The 12095-nt window shown below is 48.2% G+C and overlaps 2 annotated features.

Annotated features, from left to right (window-relative positions):
• Positions 8050-8627: an enhancer, noted in NCBI's record as "H3K4me1 hESC enhancer chr1:203526215-203526792 (GRCh37/hg19 assembly coordinates)". NCBI's record gives its function as "activates a minimal SCP1, AML or CMV promoter by ChIP-STARR-seq in primed H9 embryonic stem cells {active_cell/tissue: H9 hESC(primed)}" and the evidence as "EXISTENCE:reporter gene assay evidence [ECO:0000049][PMID:30033119]".
• Positions 8641-9565: an enhancer, noted in NCBI's record as "H3K27ac-H3K4me1 hESC enhancer chr1:203525277-203526201 (GRCh37/hg19 assembly coordinates)". NCBI's record gives its function as "activates a minimal SCP1, AML or CMV promoter by ChIP-STARR-seq in naive H9 embryonic stem cells {active_cell/tissue: H9 hESC(naive)}" and the evidence as "EXISTENCE:reporter gene assay evidence [ECO:0000049][PMID:30033119]".

The raw sequence follows: 12095 nt of genomic DNA, 5'->3' as shown, positions 1-12095 counted from the left end.
CCAGGGCCATGAATTTCACCTCAAGACAAACAACTAAATAAAAACAGCTATTATTTTGTGCCAGGCTCTGCACTATGTTTTTTGTTTTGTTTTGTTTTGAGACAGAGTCTCGCTCTGTCATCTAGGCTGGAGTTGGAAACCGACAGACATTGGAAACATGGGTTTGGCAGGGAAAGATCAGGTGGTAGTTGACTGGGTCAGGGTCTGTCTTCCTCATGGAGGTTCCTGCCTCAACCCTTTCCCCAAAGTGAAGGTCCCTTTACTTCTCTTAAATAACTTTATTTCTGCTCCTTGGATGTGCAGAGCTAATCATATTCATTAAGTCATTGGTCTGCATGAGGCATGTGTTTTATTCTGTTATTTTCCCTCTCATTCTCTGCCCTCACTCCTGTTAACCATTCACCATAGATACTCACTTCAGTGCATTAGTATCTTTGCTTCCAGTTTGCCTTCCATATGCCTACAGAGATATATGCAGATTCCTGGAAAAGATTCATAATATTATTTCATGGATGTGTGTGTGTGTTCTTAATTTACATAATTGATTTTGTGCTATGAATCTTATTCTATTTCGGGCCAGGCACAGTGGCTGTCACCTGTAATCCCAGCATTCTGGGAGGCCGAGGCAGGCGGATCACCTGAGGTCAGGAGTTTGAGACCAGCCTGGCCAACATGGCAAAACCGTCTCTACTAAAAATACAAAAATTAGCCAGGCGTGGTGGTGAGCATCTGTAATCCCAGCTACTCAGGAGGCTGAGGTGGAAGAATCACTTGAACCCAGGAGGGGGAGGATGCAGTGAACCAAGGTTGCTTCATTGCTGTTCAGCCTGGGTGACAGAGCGAGACTCCATTTCAAAAAAAAAAAAAAAAGAAAGGAAAAGAAAAGCTTTTATTCTATTTATTTGCTCACTCAGTGGTAGTTAAGACCTGTGCATGTTGCCATGTGGACTTTTTACAGCATAGTGTTCCATCATATCCACACACCACATGTACTATCCATTCTTAAGTTGCTTCCAACTCCCAGGCACTACAAGCAGTGCTACAGTGAGCATCTCACACATGTCTCCTTATTGGCCTGTGGGAATGTTTCTCTGGGATGGGGATACCAGGACATAGAGAGTTTGGATACATCCTAGTCTTCTCAACCCCTCCTGGCAATTAATCCCTGTAACCCATGTTCAGCATTGTGTTCTGCCCTTTAATTGTTGGCGATAGCCTCAGTTGTACGTATCTTCTCTCGTCTGCTACACCCTAAGTGTAAAATGAGACCCTGTTTCCCTTCATTTTGCATTTTCTGCAGGTTCTCATCTACATCTTATCCAGAGTTGGTGTTACATAAAACAATTTTTTAATAGACTGAACTAACATATCCTTTCCTGCAGGAATGCATATTTCCTTAGAGCAAGATTAGCTGTGTTTCATTCATCTCAACTGAGTTCAGAATCTGGCACTCTAAACTATTCAAAATATCACCAGAGGACTTCCTAAGACATGATTCATGACCTTTTCAAACATGGAAAAATAGTACCGTTAAGAACAAAATGGGGGCCAGGCACAGTGGCTCACGGCTGTAATCCCAGCACTTTGGGAGGCCGAGTCTGGTGGAACACCTGAGGTCAGGAGTTCGAGACCAGCCTGACCAATATGGTGAAACCCCGTCTCTAATAAAAATACAAAAATTAGCTGGATGTGGTGGCAGGCACCTGTAATCCCAGCTACTCAGGAGACTGAGGCAGGAGAATTGCTAGAACCCGGGAGGTGGAGGTTGCAGTGAACCGAGATGGCGCCACTGCACTCCAGCCTAGGGGACAGGGAGAGACTCTGTCTCAAAAAAAAAAAAACAAAACAAAAAAAAGAATGAAATGGATTAGAAGTTAGGAGATCCAAGTGCCATATAACTAGTTTTATGAACTTAGACAAAGTAAACGTCTCCTCTGAGCTTCAGTTCCCCTATATGTACAATGGGGGGTTTAGTGGCTTCTTGCTCCTAGCTGGATTCCGGAAGATGATGAGGGAGTGTTATGGTTCCATCCCCATTTGAGAAGCCTGCTGGGTCGGGCTGGTCTTCCAGGAGGAGAAGGGGGCTGAGGGGAGGATGGGGCCTGGCACACTGCTGGGTGTGGCAGCATCCTTCCCCCTTTGGTTTTCTCCTTTGTTCCTCGAATCATCCCATGCAGTTTGCCTTGATCCATTTCCAGAATATTCATCACTGATGACATGGGGCTCCACCCAGGGATTAGGACTTTCTTGGGAAGATCCAGAATATGAGTCAAGAGAAAAAGAGTGGAGAGCAGCTTGCAGAAGATAAAAGGCCTGCAGTAGTAACTGGGGCAACAACTGGAATCCAAGGGATTCAGGAGCAATCAGACTCAGGGATAGAAGAAATAGGGCAAGCCTGGAGCACACTGTCACCTTAGAAACATGAGCACCAGGACTGATGCAGTGGACCCTGCTGGTGCCCACTGGAGATACCTGTTCAAGGAGGGGTTAAGGTGGTAGGGGAGAAGAATGACAGGGACTCAGATTACCCTAAGAAAATCAAATGGGGTCAGGTGTGGTAGCTCACATCTGTAATCTCAACACTTTGGGAGGCCAGCGCTGGAGGATTGCTTGAGCCCAGGAGTTCAAGACCAGCCTAGGTAACATAGGGAGACTCCATCTCTATAAAAAAATTTAAAAAATTAGCTAGGTATGGTGGTGTGCACCTGTGGTCTCAGCTATTAGGGAGGCTAAGGCTGGAGGATCACTTGAGCTTGGGAGATTGAGGCTGCAGTGAGCTGAGGTCATGCTACTGTACTCCAGCCTGGGCAACACAGCGAGACTCTGTCAAAAAAAGAAAGGAAGGAAGGAAGGAAGGAAGGAAGGAAGGAAGGAAGGAAGGAAGGGAAATTATATGGTTTGACTGTGTCCCTACCCAAATCTCATCTTGAATTGTAATCCCCATAATCTCCACATGTCTAGGGAGAGACCTGATGGGAGGTGTTTGGATCATGGGGACTGTTTCCCCCATGCAGTTCTCATGATATTGAGTGAGTTCTCATGAGATCTGATGGTTTTATAAGGGTTCTTCCCCCTTTTCTCCTTGCACTACTCTCTCCTGTGGTCATGTGAGAAAGTCCAACCTTGCTTCCCCTTTACCTTCCACCATGATTGTAAGTTTCCTGAGGCCTCCCCAGCCATGTGGAACTGTGAGTCCATTAAACCTCTCTCCTTTATAAATTACCAAGTCTCAGGTATTTCTTTGTAGCAGTGTGAGAACGGACCAATACAAGAAAGAAAGAAAAAAAATCAAAAGAGAAAAGAAGCTTAACCTACATTTAAACTTGCCTTGGGATTCCAAGGGCAAGTGCAGGACTAGATAGGATGCAAGAAAATCACCACTGGGAGGAGTTTGGGAAGTAAAGCCTAGCCCAGCAGAAAGGTCAGTTGCTTTGGGAAATGCAGAAGGGTGAGGGAAAGAGTACACCAATGCTGGGGTCTGTGCTAACCTATTTGGGCTCAGCACTAAGCAATGCTGGGAGTCCAATGGTGAAGGGCAATATCATGACTCAAGACTACAGGTGATCAGGGTTGAAGATAGACCTGCTCAATGCTCCAGGAGACCCAGGAGAAAGCTGCCAGCCTCCTCAAAGGCAGCATTTCTTCTTCTTCCTCTTCCTCTTCTTTTTCTTGTTCTTGTTCTTGTTCTTCTTCTTCCTTCTTTCTTCTTCTTCCTCTTCCTCTTCCTCTTCCTCCTCTTCTTCTTCTTCTTCTTCTTCTTCTTCTTCTTCTTCTTCTTCTTCTTCTTCTTCTTCTTCTTCTTCTTTGTTAAAGATAGGGTCTCAGGCTGGGCATGGTGGCTCATGCCTGTAATCCCAGCTCCTTAGGAGGCCGAGGTGGGCAGATCACCTGAGGTCAGGAGTTTGACACCAGACTGACCAACATGGAGAAACCTTGTCTCTACTAAAAATAAAAAACTAGCCAGATATGGTGGCACATGCCTGTAATCCCAGCTACTCGGGAGGCTGAAGCAGGAGAATCACTTGTACCCAGAAAGCAGAGGTTGTAGTGAGCCAAGATCATGCCATTGCATTTCATCCTGGGCAGCAAGAGTGAAACTCCGTCTGAAACAACAACAAATAGACAGGGTCTCATTCTGTTGCCCAGGCTGGAGTGCAGTGGCTACTCACAGCCTCAATCACAGCACAGTACAGCCTCAAATTCTTAGGTTCAAGTGATCCTGTAGCTGGGCCTGCAGGTGTGTGCCACTGCACTCTGCAATTGCTGTCATATTCTATTGGCCAAAGCAGTCACAGGCCAGCCCAGAGTCAATGGGAGTGGTGATAGAGCCCATTTCTTGATGGAGGGAATGTCAGAGTTCTTGGTCATCTTTATCCTCCCACGTGTGCTACTATAAAATTCTCCCTCTCAGTCCTTTCTCTCCCCTGCTTCCCTATTGCCAGCTGCTCACCTGCAGCCTCTGTCTTCCTCTCACTGCTTTAAGCACAAACCCCTTGTCTGGTCTCTGTCTTTGAGCTCTCAGTCCCCAGCACAATTATCCCCTACCAGTGCCCACACATTTTCCCTGCCCCTACACAGGCCCGTTGGACTCTCCTCTGTCATTGGCTTTGCCTTAGATAATGCTTTCCCTTCCCTTCCCTGCATAACTTTCCTTCCGACAGAACCAGCACTTTCCAAGGGCAGCTATTCCCATGAAGAAGCCTCAGCTTTCTCCCTGTTGCTCTCCATGACTTCTGGACTATGGACAAAACAGACACAATGGAAATGAAATTGTTGTATTTAGTCTCTCAATCCAAGTGGAGACTGGGGCTAGAGATAGAATTAATCAGTCAATGAACATTTATAAAATGGAATGCCCAGTCTGGTGGGGAGCTGAGCACATAACAGATCACCAGTATAGGGTGTGTGGCCAGCAGGTATAAACAGAGTGCTAGCTTCACCGGACAGAGAGATCCTTGAGGGCAGGGCCCAAGCCTTGTTTATTTGTGTTCTCAGAGCCCAGCACAATGCTGAACAAATGTTAAATGAGTGTATAAATGAATGAATGATTGCACACCTATCACAGATATAAAATTACTTCTAGAAAGCTAACTTCTCTTGAATTAGATTAATTGGAATTCACGTGAGTCTCTGGAGGAGGCCAGGCATGGTGGCTCATGCTTGTAATCCTAGCACTTTTGGAGGCCAAGGCAGGAGGATTGTTTGAGCCCAGGAGTTTGAGACTAGCCTGGGCAATATAGGAAAACATCATCTCTACAAAAAATTAAAAAAAAAAAAAATAGCTGGGTGTGGTGGCATGCACATGTAGTCCTAGCTACTCAGGAGGCTAAGGCAGGAGGATTGCTTGAGCCCAGGAGGTCAAGGCTGCAGTGAGCTGAGATCACACCACTGCATTCTAGCCTGGGAAGCAGAGCAAGACCCAGCCTCAAAAAAGAAAAAAGAAAAAAAAAAAAAAGGGAAAGAAAAAAAAATTAAAGAAGTCTCTGGAGGGCACTGGGGATTAAGAATTAAGATTTTTCTTTAAAATCTTTGCCATCTGGCCATCTGGCCATCTGCTTTTCCTGGCTTCTCCTCATCCTGAATGATGATGCTCATAAATCCAGAACTTTCTTTTTTTTTTTTTTTTTTTTGAGACAGAATTTCACTTTTGTTGCCCAGGCTAAAGTGGAGTGGTGCGGTCTGGGCTCACTGCAACCTCCACCTCCTAGGTTCAAGCGATTCTCATGCCTCAGCCTCCCAAGTAGCTGGGACTACAGGTGCCTGCCACCACACCTGGCTAATTTTTGTATTTTTAGTAGAGATGGGCCATCGTGTTGGCCAGGCTAGTCTCGAACTCCTGACCTCAGGCAATCCACCCACCTCGGCCTCCCAAAATGCTGGGATTACAGGCATGAGCCACCAAGCCCGGCCCAGAACTTTCTAAATGACCTCAGCATCTGACTCACAGCCTCTTCCACATCATGCATCCCCTGCCTTCAGTCTTGATAATTCAATATCTGTGTATGGCTGTTTCTTTTCTAGTCCCCTGAGTTAACAGTCCTTGACCTCCGCCTGCTTTCTGTGCATGTGCTGCTGCCAGCTCTGCCTTCCAGCCTCATTGCTCAGGATTCCTTTTTCTACCCTATGCTATCAAACTAGAAGGTCCTCTTCCCCTACGCTATTGTACTTGCTGAATGGACACCATCCCCAGGAGCCAAACTCCTTCATCAAACTCATTACTGATTCACCCAACCATGTGTGATTTTTTTCTTTCCTGAAAATTGCAGGGGATCTTAACAGTCCTTCTCTCATGGAGTTTGTCACAGTCTGCCTTCTGGATAAATGTGTCCTTGTCTCGTCTTTCCTACTTTGATATAAGTTTTCATGGAGAGGAGACTCTGCCGTACTCACTTTTTGTCACACTCTGTCATAACGGCAACTAGCACAGAACAGTGGACATATGTTATTTTGTCTTCACAGCATCCCATCTTTTAAGGAACCCTCCTTCTTCTACTTCTATATGACCCACGGGGGGCTGTGAGTCATGGTGCCCCACCTCCACCTCCACAGAGCAGCACAGAAGATGCAGCCCCTGGCCTCAGAGATGGCTGCAGGGATGGGCATGCTACCTCCATACACAGAGAAAGAGCTCTTTTCCTGAGACCAGAGGCTGAAAGGATGATGTAAGGTGGGGTTGCTTGGGGCCATCTCTCTGGGCTACACGGAAGAAGGCATCTAACATAGGAGAGAATGAGACCCACCTCAAAAGAGGCAGAGATGGAAAGAACAATGGCTGATATGTTGGGGTGCGGATTTTGTATCAGACCCTGCTCCAAGCACACTGTGTGGACGATCTAATTTACTCCTCACAAAAATCCTAAGAGGTAATATTATTATATCAATTTTAGAGACAAGGAAACAGGGGCACTGAGAAGTTAAGCAGCTCATCTGAAATCATCCAGCTAGTTAGGTGGTGGAGTCCGGATTGGAACCCAGGCTGTGGGACTCCAAAACAGTCATGCTATGCTCTGCGTGCTATGCTGCCTTATGGATGAGCCAAGATGAACATAAATGGGAGTGAGATGGATTTACTCATTTATGAGCAAGTGCAAGAGAGAACTGACAGCATCTTTTGAGCTCCTGGATCTAGCTGTGCCTGGAGCCAGCTGACTCATGTGCTTTTTAGTTAAATAAGCCAATGCATTCCTTGATTTGCTTAAAATAGTGTATTCGTCACTTGCAACCTCCTGGCTTCATTGTGTAACAATGTGACTTAGTGATAAGGCACTACTTGTGGGTTTGCCTCCTGGCACTGCCGCTTACTTACCACCCAAACTTGGACAAATGACTCGACCTCTCAGGCCCCTGGAGGGTAATGACTTGGCCTCTCAGGGATGAGGGGATGGTGACTAGAGATGAGATTACATGTAAATGCACTTAACACTCTGTGAACACAATTTAAGTACTCAATCATCATTAGATTCTCCTTTCCCTATGTGGAGTAACTGTTCAATAAGCATTTGTTGAATTGAATTAAATCCTCCAGAGGCTGCAGGATGTTGCCTGAGCTTGCAAGCAGCTGGAGCTAGGGAGTCTCCAATCAGGGGAGCATCTCAGCTGAGGGGTTGCCCAACAGCTCTATCTGGCCATTGGAAGGTTAAAAAAAAAAAGATTTTACTCTTCTCCTGTCTCCTGAACAGCTTCATCCTCTCTGACTTCCAGATCTCTCCAACAGAGAACACAATGTCAGTCTGCTGGATTCCTTCATGCCCCTCTTTCCTCCTCCTTACGGTTGCCCTCTAGAGTCACCTACTAACTCGGTCCTATTGATTCCCTTTCCAATTTTTCTCAATCCTGCTCTCTCCTCCTCTGCCCTCCCAATGGTACCATTGCTCAGACCATCATCACCTTCTGGATGTTTGCAGCAGCTTCCTTTCTGACCTCTCTCCAGCCTTCCAGCCCACCGTGCAGCCCAAAACACCCATGTTAAAGGTGACCGAAGCACTCTTCACCCGAAAGCTGCCTTGGCCTGCAGGATGGTGAGCCAACCCTTGGCAGACACACAAGGCCCTCCTCTGCCCCACCGGCCTCTGCCTGAATTTCCAGGACAGTCTCCTGCTTTGCTTTTCCATGCCTCCGTGCTGTCACCACCCCGCCAACTCTTACTCATCTGCCAAGACTGTGCTCCATTTGCTTCTTTTTTTCTCCTGGAAACACTCATGGAATTCCCACCCCCACTCCCCAGGCCAAGCACTCCTCCTCTGTACATAATTCTGTCTTACTATTTTATACTGATAGGATCACTTTACGCACCTGTTTTGAGGACTCTGAGGCCATGTTCAGACTCATGTCTGAAACCCTTGCACCCCATACAGTGCCTGGCACCCACAAGGCCCTCACCTGCAGGCATCATGAAAGCTCCATGTGGGACTAGAAAGGGGAAAGGAGAAAATACACTTCTTGCAGACTAAACTCATGATTCTCTTGTATTCCTGCACCCTGCCTGATTTCCCTTATCCCTAGACTGGGGCCAATGCTTCTCTTAATGGCAAACACAATAGCCTTAGGGTTTAATTGTTGGGGAGATAGGGGGCATTTTCTTGCCTTGTCAAATGGGGAGGTATCCCACTTCCCCACTTTACAAGGTGAGAAATCCACTAGTGGAGGAAATGGAAAAGAGAATTTTCTCCAGGGTCCTGAGTGATTATAGGTGTTCACGTAATTCTCCATACAGTTTTACATGCATCATACATAAACAGGTAATCTTTGGCTGCCTTAAAATAGCCCCATCTCAGTTTTTAAAAGAATACGATTATTTCATTACATCTAAATATAGACAAAGAGTCTGTGCTGCTGCATAACTTAGGCAAATACATGCAAATCTCTTGCAGACCTGATCCCGTCACTGAGTTTCTAATTCTCAGGCCTCTGGTGCCCCTCCTCTCTCGTGCCGCTGCCCTTGAACAACAGGATCTGGTTGATCCGCTGGGCTAGTGACTCTGCTCAGCCTACCGCTCAGGGCTACTGTGGGGGTCCGATGAGGGACAGGGCAGTGAGAGGGCTGTGCACATGGACGTGCAACACTGTGGCATGCAGGAGGTGGGGCCGGGAGGGTGGTGAGCAGGATCGTCATGGGAGGTCACACCAGGCAGACCTCCAGCTGCTCTCCTGGGAGTGCCGGGGTTTCATTCCTCTCTCATTCTCATTTTTTCCCCTCTCAAATCTGTTTCCCATTAAAATGAAATGTGTTCTCCTCTCGGCTTTCTGCCTGGCTCCCTGAGCTGCGCCTGGCCCAGCTCTGAGAACCAGGCTGCATTTGCTCCTTTTTAAGGCACCCACTAATTCAAACCAAGCAAGTGGGAGGCGGATTGGCCTATGGGGCCACCCCCCATCCCCCAACCCTGGACTTTCTCCATGGATGGAAAATTTGGCCTCAGCCTGCCCTTGTGACTGGAAAAAGCGGGGTCAGCTCATCAAAGCAGAACAGGGTTGTTAGCTAGCTTTCCTCTTTCAGAGGGTTATATTAAGAAGGCGTGGCTCAGGGAGGGGGTTACTGGCCCTGGCTGGCCCCAGCCAGAAAGTTGCGGGGGTGGGGTTTGCTAGAGCAGGCAGATGCCTGCCAGGGCCAGGGAGAGCTTTCTGAGAGGGTGGTGAGAGACTGGAGAGGTGGGAGAGGGGTAGCTATGAAAGGAAAATGTGTGGAGGTGACATGGTCTGTAGGTTGGGCCAGGCCAGAAGAGAAGGTCAAAGAGAAATGAGTGTTCCAGTCAGGCTTGATGTCTTAGGGAAGATCCTGGGGCCCAGCCCACTGCCCCCTCCTCTCCGTCTCTCCTGCTCCCGGGGCTGAGGGAATGGAAGGAGCTGTGCCACTGTGAGGAGGAGGACCTGCATCTGTGAGGGGCCTGCTGGGACCAGCTGCTGGGGAGTACAGCTTTCTCTCAGTAGCTGAAGGGGGCTGCCTCTTTTCCAAGGGGCAGCTGCCACGCCACCGCAGGAAAATCTGGCTTGCCATTTTGGATACCTGGATTTTCCCACAGTGTGAGGGGGCTGGGGGTGTGGCCCAGGAAGGTGCACCTGAGGTGGGAGAAGAAAGAAGAAGACTGGATGGGAGTCAGCTGAATTGGGGGCCGCAGAGGCTGGGGTGAGAGGGAGGGAAGGAGGTGTCAAAGCTCAGCCTCCCAAAGCTGAGCGAGAAGAGCATGACGGGAGGGTGTTTCCCACCTCCTCGCCCACTCCAGCGCAGGGTCCTGTCTCCGTCCAAACGCTGCAAGCCTTTCCACATTCCTGCACTACCTTCCTGCGCTGCCTTTGGAGATCTGAGAGTCTTCAGGCATGAACTCTGGGAAGTAAGTCCTGGCTTTGCATGCAGGGGAAACGCAGAAACAACAACATAACAGGGCATGGTTACAGCTCCTAGACACACACCCATTCCTTCTTCCTTTATAATGAAGCTCAAAGCTCAGCAAGGCATCTGGCTTCTTGGCTCAAAACTACACTTCCCAGCTTCCTGTGAGGCGAGCTGTGGCCTTGTGATGGAGTTTTAGCCGATGCAATATGAGTGGAAGGGACGAATGCCACTTCTGGGTAGTTCCCTAAAGGCCGAGGCAGATGCTCCACCTTCCCTGTACCCTTCTCACTGACCGGACTGTGGATGTGATGGCGGGAGCTGGAGCAGTCATCTTATTTATTTTGTTTTATTTATTTATTTATTTTTTGAGATGGAGTCTCGCACTGTCACCCAGGCTGGAGTGCAATGGCGTGATCTCAGCTCACTGCAACCTCCGCCTCCCAGTTCAAGTGATTCTCCTGCCTCAGCCTCCTGAGTAGCTGGGACTACAGGCAGGCACCAGCATGCCCGGCTAATTTTTGTATTTTTTAGTAGAAATGAGGTTTCACCATGTTGGCCAGGCTGGTCTCCAACTCCTGACCTCAGGTGATCCACCCTCCTCGGCCTCCCAAAGTGCTGGGATTACAGGCTTGACCCACAGCACCCAGCCTTATTTGTTTATTTATTTATTTATTTTATTTCTCTTTTTGATACAGGGTCTCTCCCTGTCACCCAGACTGGAGTGCAATGATGCGATCACGGCTCACTGCAGCCTCCAACTCCTGGGCTCAAGTGATTCTCCAGCCTCAGCCTCCCTAGTACAGAGACTGCTACCCAATGAGTCAGTAAGCAGGATGGTCGTCCTGACTCTAAATATCCTAGACCCAGGCTCGTCTCCTTTATCTTCGCTATCCTCAATTCAGGCGAGGTCAGGTGGTTGGGGCCAAGTCCAGGTACCTGCCCTCAAGCCTCTCGTTGTCTCTGTCACACACCAGGTGATGGATGATGCACACACAAAAGACCCACACCTATGAGTCTACTCAGATGAAGACACAACCCCACCCACCCCAGTTTTGCAGGGAAGTAAAGCAATACAATAATTCATGTGGAGTAGGAGTGGCGGCCACTTCCTGCTGGCTGTGGTGGCCAGTTGTTTGCAACAGTCTGTGCACTGGCTGTCTCCTCACCCTTCCTTCCCACTCAGGAATGCCTATTGCAATGCAAGGAAATCAGAATGACATTATTAAGGATGTAGACTTGAATTGTTTCTAATTTATTTATTTATTTTGAGACAGGGTCTCACTCTGCTGCCCGGGCTGGAATGCAATGGTGTGATCTCGACTCACTGCAACCTCTGCCTCCTGGGCTCAAGCAACCCTCCTGCCTCAGCCTCCCAAGTAGCTGGGACTGCAGCCGTGTGCCACCACCACACCCAGCTAATTTTTGTCTTTTTGTAGAGACAGGGTCTCACCATGTTGACCAGGCTGGTCTCAAACCCCTGAGCTTAAGTGATCCACCTGCCTCAGCCTCCTGAAGTCCTGGGATTACAGGTGTGAGCCACCGTGCCCAGCTCTAATTTATTTTTAAAAGGTGAATTGCTCCAGAAGTGTTTTGAACATTCTTAGCAACAGCAATTCTCTTTCTTCACCTTTACACCTGACTGGGGTAGGCCTGGTTGTCATGACATCACTGTGGAAAGCAACCACCTGGGGGACTGCTTGGTGATCAGTCAAGCCTTCAGCTGACCAGCTTTCCCTTCTATGGTCTGGAGCACCACAGGGCAGGGACA

Source organism: Homo sapiens, chromosome 1 (assembly GCF_000001405.40).
Source record: "Homo sapiens chromosome 1, GRCh38.p14 Primary Assembly".
Lineage (NCBI taxonomy): Eukaryota > Metazoa > Chordata > Mammalia > Primates > Hominidae > Homo > Homo sapiens.
This window is presented reverse-complemented; position numbering and strand designations above follow the sequence as displayed.